This window comes from Homo sapiens, chromosome 8 (genome assembly GCF_000001405.40).
Source record: "Homo sapiens chromosome 8, GRCh38.p14 Primary Assembly".
NCBI classification, from domain to species: domain Eukaryota; kingdom Metazoa; phylum Chordata; class Mammalia; order Primates; family Hominidae; genus Homo; species Homo sapiens.
Window position 1 is genome coordinate 48,548,916 of NC_000008.11, and position 15,612 is coordinate 48,564,527.

Consider the following 15,612-nt stretch of genomic DNA (forward strand, 5'->3'; position numbering starts at 1 on the left):
GCTGGGATCATATGAGCAAAACCCCGAGGATTGCCATTTGCAGGAGCTATCATTTATTCTGACATCCATTCTGAAGTCTTCACATCTTACTCAAGGAAATCAGATACAGACCACAAATGAATAGTGCTACTGCATAACAGGGCAAAGACTTTCCTTTTTTCCTTTCTAAAACTCACCAAGATAAAATATTTTTCTTGAAATCATATGCCTGTAATTCTCGCTAACTACTTGGCAGAAAGTGACCGTGGTCTGAGGGTGACATTGATTTTTATTTCAACCGATTTTTGTAGGGGTTTGGGCCATCACTCTTGCTTTGCGCAGTCTACGCTGACTTCTAGTTCTGGTGAACCGACTCGATTGCAGGCTCTTCTGCCAAGCTGTTGTGGCAGCTCCATGTTGGCTCCTGCCTTGGTAGCTATGAAGTCAGAGAACACTGCGGGACAGTTGTATTGACACACTCTTTTGGGAGGGGAAGGAGGGGGGCTCATGTGTTAAATTGGGGTTCTCAACCTTGGCACTGCTGACATTTGGGACCAGATCCTTCTGAGTTGTGGGGTAAGGGCTACCTGTTTACCGTAGGATGTTGAGTAGCATCCCTGGCCTTTACTCACTGGATGCCAGTAGCACCCACACCCCACAGTTGTGACAACCAAAAACATCTCCAGACATTGCTAAATGTCTCCTGGGGGGAAGATCACTCACAACTGAGTACCACTGTGTTAAAAGCCTGGAGTCTTAGGCTTTTCCAGGGTGATCAGAGACATGGAGGATTTTAGGGTCCCAGGCTAGGTAGACATGGAATAGGTTGGGAGGCATTCCTTGATAGGGTTATTTGCATATTAAAACACATTCTGATTACCTGTGTTGGCTATGTTAGCAGCATAGTTCTTCAATGTGTGGCATAGCTGTCCTTATAGAAAAACAAAATGGTTAATTCAGGTTTGGTTTTTGAATGATCTTGTACACCTGGAGGTATGTTGGGCTATGTTTCTCACTATTTACAAAAACCTGTTATGTGTAAATACATCTGATGCTTACCCATATCATCCCCAGTTCTGTAGAAACAAATTCAACAAAAGAGGAGAAGCCTGGAATAGTGGAATACTTTAATCGTCACACCAGTACTGTTGTGTGGTTTTCTTTTCTTCTGCCCTGGTTTCTCTAAGCTCACAATGTGTTTGCAGGGCTGGTCTAGGTCTTCCTTCTTGCCTTTACTGGGCAGAACTAAGATAATAGGAATAAAAAGGGGAAGCAGAACAAAAGGATGGGCAGGTTCTCCCAGGTAGAATCGACAGTCCAGTCCAGTGCTCCTGCCACTTCTCTTGGACCTGCTGCTCCCACTGTGTGTGTGTGTGTGTGTGTGTGTTTCTGTGAATGAGTGTATGTGCACATGTATGTCTGCATGTGTGTGTGCACATATGTCTGTGTGTGCTTGTATGTGTCTGCATGCGTGTGCATGCATGTGTCTGTGTGGTTTGGACTTGGCGTGTTATCCCAGGCGGGCCTTGCCATCCAGAAAAGAAGAAGGCAGTTAGGAAATGCACTTAACTGCTGCAGGGAAGCTAGAGTTGCTTTGTGGAGCTTGTTTCAAATGGGTTTTGTTTTGAATCTACAAGTTCATTCAAATTCAATCACAGCAAAATTCACAGATTGTGATGTCATGCGGATTGAAACCAAAAAAGGCTGTATAGAATGCTTTCTGCCAGATTTTACTCATGGCTTCAGGAAACTCCCCCACCCACCAGTCTTTTTTCTTTTTTCTTTTTTTCCTTTGCATTGTGAGCCAAGACTTAAGGGCTGTGCCTTACTAAGCCTCACTTCCATTTACAGAGTTTTCTTTTTTTAACAGCCCTTGGGCCTACGGCCTTGACATCTGTGCTGCGATTTCTCTAAGCTCCTATCACTCTGCTTTGCTTCCGCATTAAAAAGAGAATAGATCCTTCTAATTGTACAGACACCAACATTGTCTAGGGCAGGGGGAGGGTTGGGTAGAGAAGGAATTTATCAATCATGAACCTAGTCCACCTGTTTATTGTTATTAAGCTAACTGCATGGAGAAGACACCCTCAATCCACAAGGAAGGCCCCTCGGAGGTGACTGTTACTACTGGGCCTTCCTTCCCCATGACGTGACACTTGCATTCCTCTGGCCTCCTGGCAGATGGAAACCTCACTTATGTCATCCCTGTGTGGTGGCTTGGACTTTGGTAGTCCAGCACTGTTATGGGATGACTTAAGGAAGGGCTGTGCCCTGGGTCTGTTTAAGGGAAGGTGTGGGCCTCGGGCTCTTAGGATAAGGAAGGAGCAGGAGCTGGCATGACCTTTCATTCCTGTGTGTCGGCCATGCTGGGGCTGTGGCTGGGAGCACACCAGTATGGCCTTCCTGGACGCAGCCCTCTGTGGACAGTAACTGGACCCTTTTGGTCTAGATTGGATTAGAACTAGGATTACATTCGATTCCTTGTGGTGAGTCTTTTTCTAGCTAGAGAAACCTAAACCCACCTTCTCCCAGTGTGATTCTTGAGTGATACCAACATGTAAGAATGTTAGTTCAAACTGTCAGGCACAGGGAGTGGAATCTCAGTGTTCCCACGAATGAATGGATAAATATAGAAGTGGCATAGGAGTCAAATTTACTTAATTTCTTGTCTCAGTCTAGACCACTGATGGGCTGAATTCCTATGAGTGGGGATGAGACCCTCAATCTCCCTGTGCCACTCGGGGGCTCTTCGCCTTGTGCCTTGCCTTGAGGTCAGTGGTGGTTCAAGGATGATCTCGACCTCTTGAGAGTCGTGAATTCCTTCTTCTTGCTGCTGTGACACTGTATTATCTCTTATCACAATGCTCACTGTTTTGTCTTGTATGTTTTCATCCATGTCCTCTCCCAACGCTTCCTTTCAGAATGCGAGCTTCTCCAGAGAAGCTGTGGCTTCCCGTGTCTCAGCACCCAGTGCGCTTCCCAGCGCCCAGCACGCTGATTTGAAACTCTCTCAATAAGTGTGCCAATGAAGTTTTGTTGATAAATAATTAAGAAATAAATGAGAATAGTCTCTCTGGTGCACGAGCCTTCCTATTCGCTCTCAGTGAATTCTTGGTTTGAAAATGCAGTGGTGTGGTAGACCAGAAACAAGGTCAGAACTCCAGTACAGAATAGACAGGTGAGTACTTTAAAGTGCAAAAAAATTACAGTGGAATAATTATGATATTATTTAACCTGCATGAATCAGTTTCTTCCCCTCCTCCTTTCGCTCCTCCTTTTCTTCCTTTCTTCTTCTTTCATCTTATTACAGTTTTACAGCTTCTTCCTCTAAACAGATTGTATTCAATCTTTCAGGAACTCAGATTTATTCAAAAAATAGTTAGTGGGGCTCTGTGCAGCGGCTCATGCCTGTAATCTCAGTACTTTGGGAGGCCAAGGCAAGGAGGATCGCTTGAGCCCGGGAGTTTGAGACCAGCCCTGGTAAGGTAGCAAGACCCCGCCTCTACCAAAAGTACAAAAATTAGCCAGACATGGTATTGCATTCCTGCGGTCCCAGCTACTCCGGAGGCTGAGGTGGAAGGATCACTTGAGCTCAGGAGGTCAAGGCTGTAATGAACCAAGATCGTACCACTGCTCTTCTGCCTGGGTGACAGAGCGAGACCCTGTCTCAAAAAAAAAAAAAAAAAAAAAAAAAAAGGCGGCTATTAGGCACCAATCACGTTTAGGACATACTGTTAGATGCTCTGTGGGTCACATCCCTCCAAAACTTATACAATTGCATTTTTACAAAAGGTACTTAAATATCAAATGAGTACTCACTCGCTCACTCAGGGTACCGTATATCAGTCAGGACATGAGTTTTCTTGGCAGAAAATGCTCTCAACCTGGGCGGTGTGAAGAGAGCATAATGAAGGGAATATTTACCAAGCTGTGAGCAGGCTTAGGAAGAGCAGAAGAAATAGTGCAGGACCTGGGGTGCACGGTGGGAGGAGCAGGTTCCCGCCCGAGCTGCACTGCCCATGGGAAGCTGGAGGACGGGGCAGCCAAGGGGAGTGGGGAGTGGCCTCAGAGCACCAGGCAGAGTGGGCAAGGCTGAGGGGTGGACCTGAGGGGCCCTTTGGTAAAGGTGGCAGTGGTGATTGGCCTGAAAACACACACTTGCCAAGACGGTCCTGCCCACGGAGCCCTGGAAGGTGGAGGAAGGTGGCAGGTGGCAAGTAGAGTCCTCTCTAAGAAGCAGAGCGCCAGGTCTCAGTTGCTGCTTGGACTTCAGAGTGGAGAAAGGAGAAGAAGCCCGGGGTTTCTGAGTTTTGATTTAAATAAAACCAGATAAATAGACCATTACCCTAAAGTTAACAAATGGAGGATATGAAAGAATGAAGAGAGTTCCAGGGGAAAGACAAGGAGTTTGATTTTAGCACTTCTGAATTGGAAGTGTGGTGGGACATCTGATAGGCACCAAAACTGTGGAATGGACCCAGTGCTGGGGATCAGCCAGTCATTGACCTCACTGGGGGTGGACAGGGTCTCTCTGGGTTCAAGGGCCATCCCTGCGGAAGCTTGTCCTCTGCAGAGGACTGTAGATTTGATTTTGAGTTTGAGGTTTGGTTAGAATTTACCCTGGTAGAGAGCAGGAAAGAGTTTAAATCTCCTTTAGCAGCCAAGATCTGTAGGAATGGCTCCCCAGGCTGGGTTTGGGAGAGTCCACAGCAGGCAGGGGCCAGAGAGGCTCCCGAGGATGAAGGCGGCTGAGGACGGAGGTTGTGGTGGAAGAGGAGGTTATCACCAGTTGTGGAAGTTTCCAAGGTTAATGCACGTGAACTTTTTCACACAAGGCAAAAGTGAGGGACCACAGGGACAGCAAAGTTTTGAACAGAAAACTTACACTATACTGTGAGGGTGTTTGATGGGCACTGTGATTGTCTGCTGACTGGGCGGGAATGGGCTTCTGGCTCTCTGGTTCACTATTTGTCTGCAGAGCAGGGGGACAACACCCAGAGCTCTGTTGCAGAAATTAGAATACAAACCAAGCAAGAAAGGAATGAGTTAAGGAATGAGCCTATGGGCCTCTATAATGAGAGAGTGATGCTATCTTTGGTAGAAATTGGAGAGTCAAGGGGGCTGAGTTAAGGGAAGGTGTGGCCCTCTGGCCCTTGGGATAAGGAAGGAAAACCACGCATTTCCTTGTCAATGCACCAAATTTGAAATGATGATGTGAAATTCAAGGGGAGATGTCTAGTTACAGCTGGAAGAATGCACCTACAACTTGAGAAAAATGTCAAGGCTGTAGCTTCAAATTTCAAAGTCAGTTCTATTAGTGTAAAGACAATTGCCGAAGAATACAATCTGCAGAGACAACTGCAAAGGGCAAGGTCTCAGCTGCAGGGTTCGCCCACAGTCAGGTGGGAGGCGAGATGGTGCGCTCCCACAGAGAAGCAACCAAGCACTGAGAGGAGCTGGAACAGGCTTGCCAGCAAAAGCATGACACTATTTTTGACCAGTTCTGAAGAGACACAACTAACCTGCTGTAGACCTGCCTCTGGTAAAACATGCCCAGCCTGTGGGCAATGCAAATCGGTAGGTCAGGGACCCAGTTCATGAGGATTTTCCAGTTAGTCTCTGATGACAGCTTTTCCACGAACAGACTTCAAAGCTGTATGTTATGAAGGTAAAAGTCATTGGCAGATAAGGAATTCTTGCTGTGCTCATTTCTATCTCAGAAGAGGGCCCAGATATAAGTAAGTCCCTCTCTGGACTTTGGAGATACAGACACAGGCATGGGGAGTTGGGCTCGGGGAGTAGAGTGTGCTCATGTTGGTTCTGTGAGAATCTTCATCTCTTGTCTGGTTTAATGTTATTTTAAAATAGTGTTTGTGGTTTAATCATTTTTTGAGATCTTGCTACTAGATTTTTAAAATCTGTTGTTAGAAGCCAGGATAATTGGCTCATATAATTGTTTTTGAAACAGATCTAATGCAAGACATTTTGTCCTGGTGAAGCTGAGCTGTGCATCTGCTGAGCTATGGGCAGACACTAAGAAGGACCCCAGCTGATTAGCAGAGTTGTGCCCTTGCCAGGAATTGGATCTGAGGCACATGTGGCCATCCTCATGACTCAGAGGAGGTGGGGACTGAAATCACTGTGGGCTGAAGAGGCCTGGCTGGAAGCCGGCCTGCATGCTGCTGAGATAAGCAGTTCTCTCCCAGCCAGCAACATATGCCTCCCTGTCCCTGGGGAGTGGGCCCCAGCTTCCTCTCCTCACCCCCCTACCCGCCACCCCCCAACTCTCCCACTCCCTGGAGGCCCTGAGCTATCACAGCCCTTCCCTGGGAGAAGCCTGGCCCAGCCCGGGTTTTGGCCTGCAACTAACACATTGCGTACACCACCGTTATCTCTTCACTTAAGTCCTGAAAGGGGTCAATAAAGTTACTCAAGAAGGACTGGGAGGCTCAGCCAGATCCATTTCAGATTGTGATGTTACAAGTTCTTGGACTCTTGACTCTGGCAAAAAGCAGAAACAAACAAAAAAAGATTTCGATCATCAGAATTACTGTAAAATTAAAAACCGTTTTCAGCAACCATGACCACAGGCCGCTTGAAGCCGGTGACTGGTAGGAACTTGGGATTGTAAAAAAAATAGTTCCTGTCTTCTCCTTTTTATTACAACTCAGCTAGCAACGACTGTGTAGGCGGCGGGCGATCAGAAATAAATGTCTGACTTGGATTTTGCACAGTTGGGTCTCGCTTCAAAGCATACTGCCTGCCTGCTGACCCAGCTAGAGTTTTTACAGGGACAGCAACTAGGTGTCGTTTGGGAACTGACAGGGCCGCTCCGGGGCTGCGCCTGGGAGCTTGCTGCTTTGCAGGTCTCTGCTGATCAGAAAGCCGCCAGCTGTCCTGTTTCCCGCGCTATTCCCGGAACACCATAGAAACGCATCCCTTTTCTTTTGCTTTTTTTTCCCCCCCAGGTCATTTTATTCTTCTTTGATTCCTTCTCCTCCCTCCTCTTTCTCTTTCTTTTGTTTTTACAGTCCCCTGTAATGACTAATTGGCAGTGTTTCCCAGCTTTTTTATGTTTCTCTTGCTCTGGTTACAAGTCGTACTAACGCGGTAATACCCACAGGGACCTATAGACAGCCAACATTTCCAAATGATATACAGCATTCCCCTTTCTTTCAAAGTGTAAAACATTTACAAGGAAATGTACAAATGTATTAGGAACATTTCCCCGGTCGGTCATTAGCGCGCGCTCTCCCCGCGCCCAGGGTGCCCCCGTGCCCAGGGTGCCCCCGCCCGGCGCCTCCGCGGTCCCCTCCCGCGCGCACCTTTCCGAGTGCCAGTGGGGCGGCCCCGAGACCGCAATTGCTCTGGCCCGGATTGACGAGCCTCCGATGCCCATTTACTGCGCGCGGCAGCCACTCTGGAGCCGCGGCACATCTGGATGGAGTCAGCTGCCTAGCGCCAGGGGCCAGCACGGCCCAGCCAGCGGAGCGCGGCGGTGAGCGCTAGGGAGGCCGGCGCCCGGGCCGCCTCCGCGGCCGACCCCCTGTCCCCACCCGAGCAGGATTTCCTGATGTAAACACAGCGGCTCTGCGAGAACAGAGCTGCTCTCCTGAATGTGTCATTTAGTGTTCTTTATCTGCTTGGGGTCAGCATAGCGACTTAGAAAAACAGCAGTCTTGCTTTGAATTTAAACAGCGAAGAAGCCAGAGGGTCCTGTTCCGTATGGGGGGAGGGAGAGGCCTGGAAACCTAGCTCCTGCTTTCGTGTTTACTTTTTCCACTTTATGGTAATTTGGGGGCTAATTTCATTATCTACAGCCAAACTGGAAACAAGATGCTGTTTCTGTGAATGGTGCTAAAGGCATGTGTGAGTTTCTGTGCAGTAGGTTGAAAGTTCCAGAGGCCCCACCAGTGCCTGGCAGGCTCTTGCCCTGCTGCAAAGTGTTCGGACAGTGACTTTTTCAGGGGGAAGCGACTGCCCCGCAGGTGGCAGAAAGAGCATCGCTTTCTGTCATTGAGTACCAGCCAGGAATGTGCTTCCATCCTAGGTTTCCAGAAAGGCTCTGGTCTTGGGGGCTGAAGGGACAGGTTTCCTATCCCAGACGGTGGGATGTGTTTCCTCTCCTATTTTTAAAGGAATGGGAACAGCTCCTCTGCTGTGTCTGGCGGCAGGCTGGTCCCTTTCTCCATTTAGCTGTGCGGGTGGGCTTTCCTCTTTCTATGACAGGGAATGGGATCTTAAGGATTTGTGGTTCTGAAGGTTCATTAAAGTAGAAGTCAGCCGATGATAAAGCATGATAAAGTCATTTTGAAATAGACGGTAGAGAGGGAAAATACAAAATGATGGCAGAGTTTGTGTTGTCATCACCAATAATTAAAATGAAATGTAGATGTGTTTCCAGTTCAGTCACAAGCCATTTAAGCCGTCGCGTCTAGAAAATTTCAACTGGCGGCATCATCCTCAGATACTGGCAGAGCTTCCCTAACCCTCAAGTAGGAACGAGGTTTGCAAAAGCCTTTAAATGGAAATCAGGAGGCCATGTGTGCATATCTGAGGGTAGAATTTGGCCAATATGCAGGATATGAACAGGCTTGGGAGAAGCTCTGGGCTGCTGGTATAAGATTTCAGTAGTGCAGCTTCATGGAAAGATTTGTCACACTGTTTTCAGTCTTCTGCCACAGACAATGGCTGGACTTCAGGAGCACTTTTCTGTTGGAAGAATTGGGGTACATCACCAAACTTCACAGTCACTTCTGTGTTAACGAAGGGGTCAGTCAAAGCCAACTCTTATTTGTGTTGGGGGATTAATCACCAATGAATTGGTTAATAGAGAACACTTTTTCATCCCACACACTGTATTTTGATGAATTTGCCAGAAGGTGAGCCAGGACTGCTGGAGAGAACCAGGGTCCGACTTGGCAAATTGGCTGTTAGCAGATCTGCGTGGTTGTTTGATAAGGAGATGGGGCCAAAACCAGTTAAGACGAGGTTTGTTTACAGCAATTCCCCCCGTGCCTGCAAAGGCAAATATAGGACTGGCTCTGAGCTCCCTTCACGTGCCAATATACTAATGTCACAACTAGGATATTGATATTGACACAATCCACTTACCTTATTCAGTTTTACTTGCACTCATTTATGTGTGTGATTATTTGTTCTGTATAATTTTATCACATGTGTAACTTCCCACACACACCACCGCAGTCAGGAAAATAGTTCCATCTCCACAGGTATCTCCCCTGTAACCATTTTATAAAAGGCCACATCCACTTCCACCCTGCCTGTGCCTTCCCTGCCTCTCCTTTTCTAATCCTTGCCATCATGAATTTGTTCTCTATTTCTAAAATTTAACCATACCAAAAATGTTACATAGAGAGAATCCCACAGTGTAACCTTTTGGGATTGTTTTTTTTTTTTTTTTTTTTTTTTTTTTTTTTTGCTCAGCATGATTTCCTGGAGATCCATCCAAGTTGTTGCATGCAACAATGGTTTCTTCTTTCTGTTGCCGAGTAGTGTCCCAGCACTACTCAGTGTTTGTCTCAATCACAGTTTGTTTAGCCATTCACCGGTGGAAGGACATATAGGCAGATCCCCACTTGTTGCTATTACAAATGAAGCTGCTACAAATTTTGTGTGTAGATTGTTGTGTGAATATCATTTTCATTTCTCTGAGATAAATGTCTAAAAGTACTATTGGTGGGTTATATGGTAGCTTAATGTTTAACTTTATTGGAAACTACCAAATTGTTTTCCAGAGTGGCTGTTCTACTTTATATTCCCACCAGCAATATATAAGTGACCCAGTTTCTCTGTATCCTTGCCAGCGTTGGTATTGTCTCTTTTTATCATTTTAGCCATTCTGGTAAGCGTATAGCAATATCATTGTGGTTTTAATTTTTTATTTCCCTAATGATTAATGATGGTGAACATTTTCTCAGATGCTTATTTGCCATGTGTATATCCTCTTCAGTAAAATACTTATTTATGTCTTTTACTTATTTTCTAATTGAATGTTTTAAATGTTGAGTTTTGAAAGTTCTTTATATGCTCTAGGTACTAGTCCTTTGTCAGATTGGTTTGTCAATATTTTCTCCAGTCTATAGCTTGTCTTTTTATACCCTTCACATGGGCTCTTACAGAGCAAAAAAGCTTTTTAATTTTAATGAGATCCAAGTTATCAATATTCCTTTTATGGATGTGCTTTTGATTTCAAGTCTAAGGACTCTGCCCAACTTGAGATCCTGAAGATTTTCTCGTAATTCTTTTTCTAAAAGTTCATAGTTGTACATTTTACACGTGTGCCTATGATTTAGTTTGAATTAATTTTTGTATAAGAGGCTTAGGTTTAGGTTCTTTTTCTTTCTTTCTTTTTTTGTCTCTACATGTCCAGTTGCATCAGTGCTATTTTGTGAAAAGACTAGCCTTCGTTCATTGAATTGCTTTCACACCTTTGTAAAAAAATCAGTAGAGAGCATTTGCCTGGTTTTATTTCTGGGTTCTCTATTATGTTCCATTAGTCTATGTGTCTGTCCTTTCAGCAGTACCATACTGTCTTGATTATTGTAGCTGTAAGACTCGATATTAGGTAGATTGCTTCCTCTTACTTTATTCTTTTTCAAGATTATTTTACCTTTGTCTTTCTACACAAATTTTAGAATAAGCTTGTCTGTATCTACAAAAAAATCTTTGCTGGGTTTTGATAGAAATTGTATTTAACCTATAGACCCATTTGGGGAGACTCGACATCATTACTAATGTTGATTTTTTTTCAATTCATGAACATGGTATGTCTCAGCATTTATTTATGTCTTCTTTTATTTCTTTCATCAGCCTGTGTAATATACAGTACAGAGCTTCTGTTCAAGCTTTGCTAAGTGTATATCTAAGTATTTCATTTTCTTTTGTGTGCTTATAAGTGGTAAAATGTTTTTAATTCCAATCACCACCTGTTCATTGTTAGTACACAGAAATGCAATTGATTTTTCAGGCTGATCTTGTATCCTGTGATCTTGCTGAACTCACTTCTTACTCTAGATATTTTCTTTGTAAATTTTTTGGGGATATTACCCTTAGGCAATCATAATGTCTGCAAATGCAGACAGTTTTTATTTCTTCTTTTCCAGTATGCCTGCCTTTTATTTCTTTTGCTCGCTTTTTCAGTGGCTAGAACTTCTAGTACTATGTTAAATAACAGGGGTAGAGCATTGTCTTGTTCCTGATCTTAGGGGGAAAGCATTCGGTCTTCTACCATTAAGTATAACGTTAGCTGTGGGTGGTTTTTTGTTTTTTGTTTTTTGTGTTTTTTTTTTTGTAGATGCTAGACACTTTTTTATCAAGTTGGGGTAATTTTCTTCTGTTTCTAATGTCTATTTTCATCATTCATAAGTGTGGGATTTTGTCAAATGCTTTTCTTACATCAATTAATATGATTTTTCTTATTTGCTTGTTGTTATGGTGGAAGACATTGACCAATTTCCAAATGCTTAACAAGTTTGCATACCTGGACTAATTATACTTGGTCATGGTATCTAATTCTTTTGATATGTTGTTTGGATTTGATTTGCTAATATTTTGTTAAGGATTTTTGCATTTAAGTTTATTACATATATTGATCCGTAGTTTTCATTTTATTTGCATTCTCTTTGTGTGGTTTTGGTTTCAGAATAATACTAGCATTAATAAATAAATTGGCAGTGTTTCCTCTTCTTTCATTATCTGGAAGAAATTGTGTAAGATTCATTTCAATTTTTCTTTAAATGTTTGGTAGAATTCTTTTATCTAGTAAAACCATCTGTCCTGGAGATTGCTGTTTTGGGCAGCTTTTTAATTATAAGCTAAATTTTGACCAATGTCTTTATTGGTTATAGGACTACTTGGATTGTCTATTTTGTCCTGGTTGAGTTTTGGTACTTTGTGGCTTTCAAGGAATTGGTTCATTTCTTTTAAGTTGGAGAATTTATAAGTGTAAATTTGTTCACAGTATTCCCTTGTTATCTTTTTAATGACTGCAGCATCTGAAGTTCTGAAGTGGTATCTTTTATCTTATTATTATTATTATTATTATTATTTTTTTTTTGGAGGGAGAGGGGACAGGGTCTTACTCTGTCACCCAGGCTGGAGTGTAGTGGTGCCATCTCAGCTCACTGCAGCCTCGACCTCCTGGGCTCAAGCAATCCTGCTGCTTCAGCCTCCTGAGCTGCTGAGACTACAGGCTCAAGCCACCATGCCTAGTTATTTTTTGTAGTTTATCTAGAGATGGGGATTTGCCATGTTGCCCAGGCTGGCAATCTTGTAATCCCAGGCTCAAGCAATCTGCCTGCCTCAGCCTCCCAAAGTGCTAGGATTAAAGGTGTAAGCCACCATGTCCAGACTTTCATTTCATTCTTAGTAGTTGTGATTTGTGTTTTCACTCTTTATTTTTGTCAGTCTTACTATGGGCTTATCAATTTTATTAACTTTTTTCATATAACTAGTTTTTTGTTGCATTGATCTTACCCATTGTTTTCCTATTTTCAATTTTATTGATTTCTGCTCTATGTTATTTTCTTCTTTCTGGCTCCTCTAGATTGTTTTTCATTCTTTTTTCTCTAGTTTCTTCAGGAAAGAATAGAAACCTTTTCTTATTTCTAATGTAAACATTTAGTGTTATAAATTTCCTTCTTATTGCTGCTTTAATTACATCCAACATCTTTTGATATATTAAGTTTTTTGTTTTCATTCTGTTATATGCTTTTTAAAAAATATCCCTTTAAGGCTTCCTTTATAGCCCATACATTATTTAGAAATTTGTTTGGAGGTTTTCCTGTTGTCTTTGTTACTGGTTTCTAGTTTGATTCCATTGTGGTCAGAAAAGATATTCTGTATCACTTTAATTCTTTCACATTTGTTGATGTTTGTTTTATTGCCCAAACATATGAACTGTCTTGGTAAATGTACCATGTACACTTGAGAAATATTTGTATTGTATTGTCGTTATGTAGCTTGTTCTATGTATGTCGGTTAGATCCTATTGGTTGACTTTATTGTTCAGTCCTGTATATCTTTGATGAATTTCTGTCTTGTAGCACTATCCATTGGTGAGGTAAGGGGCTGTCAAAACAATCAACTATAATTTTCTATTTGTATATTTCTTCTTTCAGTTTCATCTGTTGGTACTTCATGTATTTTGAGGTTATGTTGTTTATTGCATACACAATTAAGATAAATATTTCTTTCTGGTGAATTATCTTTATATCCATATAGACTCTTCTTTCTTGTTTCTAGGAATTTTCTTTGCTCTGAAGTCTACTTTATGAGATATTAATATAACTACTACTGGTCTTCAAAAATTTTTATGTTTATATAGCTTATCTGTTTTCATCATTTTCCTTTTGACCTGCCTTGTGTAAGAGTTTTTTGTAAGCAGCATATAATTGGGTCATGTTTATGCATTCTGATAATGTCTACCTTTTGATTTAGACAATGCACATTTAAGGTGATTATTGGTATGTTAGTACTTAAAAGTGGTATTTTATTATTTGTTTTCTCAGGTGCTTGATCTTCTGTGTTTCTTCCTTTTCTCAGGATTACTTGAATGTTGTTTTAAAATTCCAACCTGATTTATTTTTAGTGTTTTAATGTGTCCCTTTGTATAGTTTTTGTCATGGTTGCTCTGGGTTTTACAATATACATATATGACTTACAAAAGTTGATTGGTATCAATATTTTACCATTTTCAGCTGTGTGTGGAAATCTCACTTCTCTTTAGGTCTTTTTATCTTTCCCCTTTAACCATCATTTTGTTATGAATCAGAAGATATTATTTTTGATTCAATTATAAATATAACTTATAAAACTCACCAGGAAAAGGGTAGTCTAGTGTATGCACCCATGTGTACTCTTTGTCATTTCTTTTACTTTCCTGATTCTCAAAAATTTTTTATCATTTTCTTTCTGTTTGAAGTACTTCATTTATATAATATTTAAGGATTGACCTGCTCATGACAAATTATTTAGTTTTCTGCATCTGAGAATGTTTTCATTTCCCCTTCCCTCCTGAAGGTGAGCTTAGCTGGATATAGAATCCATGGCTGACTATTCTTTTCTCTCAGCACTGAAAAAATATTGTTTAGGGTTTGTTCAGCTTTTTGGATCTATAGATTGATATGTTCTTGACAGATTTGTGAAGTTTTTAGTTATTATTTCTTTAAACACTCTTTAATTCCCCACCCCCTTCCTTTTCATTTTGAGACTCCAGCGATTTGAATGTTGGCTCTTCTGTCTCAGAGGTCAGTGAGGGAGAATGTTTTAATTTTTTAAAAATATCTACTTTCTCTCTGCTGTTCATATGGAGTGAATTCTATTGTTCTGCCTTAATGTTCACTGAAGGAATGCTCTTCATCTCTGCTCTACTGTTGAGCCATTGGGCAATTTTTTTTTTTTGAGATGGAGTCTCACTCTGTTGCCCAGGCTAGAGTGCAGTGGAGTGATCTTGGCTCACTGCAACCTCCACCTCCCAGGTTCAAGCAATTCTTCTGCTTCAGCCTCCCCAGTAGCTGGGATTACAGGCACCCACCACCACTCCTGGCTAATTTTTGTATTTTTAGTAGAGATGGGGTTTCACCATATTGACCAGGCTGGTCTCACACTCCTGACCTTGTGACCTGCCCACCTCGGCCTCCTAAAGCACTGGGATTACAGGCATGAGCCACTGCGCCCGGCCTCCATTCGGTTCCTTTTTATAACTTTCTTGAGATTTACTTTTTCATTTGTTTCAATAACATTTTAAATTGATTGTTGAAGCATTTCCATGGCTATTGCTTTTACATTCTTGTCAGATAATTCCAAATTTGTATTAATATCACTGTTGACATCAGTTTATTGGCTTTTTAAATTCAAGTTGTGAATCTCCTAGTTCTTGATATGACAGGAGATTTTCAGTTGTATGCTGAACATTTTGTCTATTATGTTAGAAGTCTCTGAGCCCTATTTAAATCATATTTTATTTTAATTTTTTATTTTATTATTATCACTTTTTTAAGACAGAGTCTCACTCTGTCACCCAGGCTGGAGTGCAGTGGCGCAATCTCAGTCGGCTCACTGCAACCTCTGCCTCCCATATTCAAGCAATTCACATGCCTCAGCCTCCTGAGTAACTGGGATTACAGGCGTGCACCACCACACCTGGCTAATTTTTGTATTTCCAGCAGACATGGGGTTTCACCATGTTGGCCAGGCTGGTCTCGAACTCGTGACCTCTGGAGATCCACCTGCCTTGGCCTCTCAAAGTGCTGGGATTACAAGCGTGAGCCACCATGCCCGGCCCAAATCTTATATTTTAGCAGCAAGTCACCCAATTTAGGTTCAGCCCACAAGTTTTGGACTGTTTTTGTGGACTGTGGTTCTGATGGCAGCTTAATTTTCGGAGTCTTTGCTGTGTTGTTTGGTCTGCTTGGTTTTTCTGGTTCCCTGGGGGCTCCCACTGGTCCCTGCTGGTGTGGCCTGTGGATTGGGAAAGGCTTCACTGGGCCAGCTGCCAGGAGGCTCTTGGTGGAAGAAGGATGTGGTGGGACCCATGTGCCTGTGTCCTGGGCAGCCCAGGCACCTCTGGTCAGGGCAGGAGAGCCCCAGGCCATGGACAACAGAGTTTCT

General features: G+C 42.7%; 2 long non-coding RNA genes across 2 annotated transcripts in view; one reads left to right on the top strand and one right to left on the bottom strand.

Moving 5' to 3' along the window:
* Nucleotides 1–1,089: 1,089 nt before the first annotated feature.
* On the bottom strand, nucleotides 1,090–9,376 carry LOC112268027 (uncharacterized). The gene is made up of 2 exons (XR_002956708.2): nucleotides 7,305–9,376; nucleotides 1,090–3,641 (listed from the first exon to the last, which is right to left on the bottom strand). It is a non-coding gene; the product is annotated as an uncharacterized LOC112268027 (long non-coding RNA).
* LOC101929268 (uncharacterized) overlaps nucleotides 2,652–15,612 on the top strand; it is a 146,944-nt gene continuing 133,983 nt past the window's right edge. Inside the window, exons 1-2 of the long non-coding RNA NR_105002.1 lie at nucleotides 2,652–2,750; nucleotides 2,901–3,157. This is a non-coding gene — a long non-coding RNA (uncharacterized LOC101929268). The remainder of the gene's footprint in view (nucleotides 2,751–2,900; nucleotides 3,158–15,612) is intronic.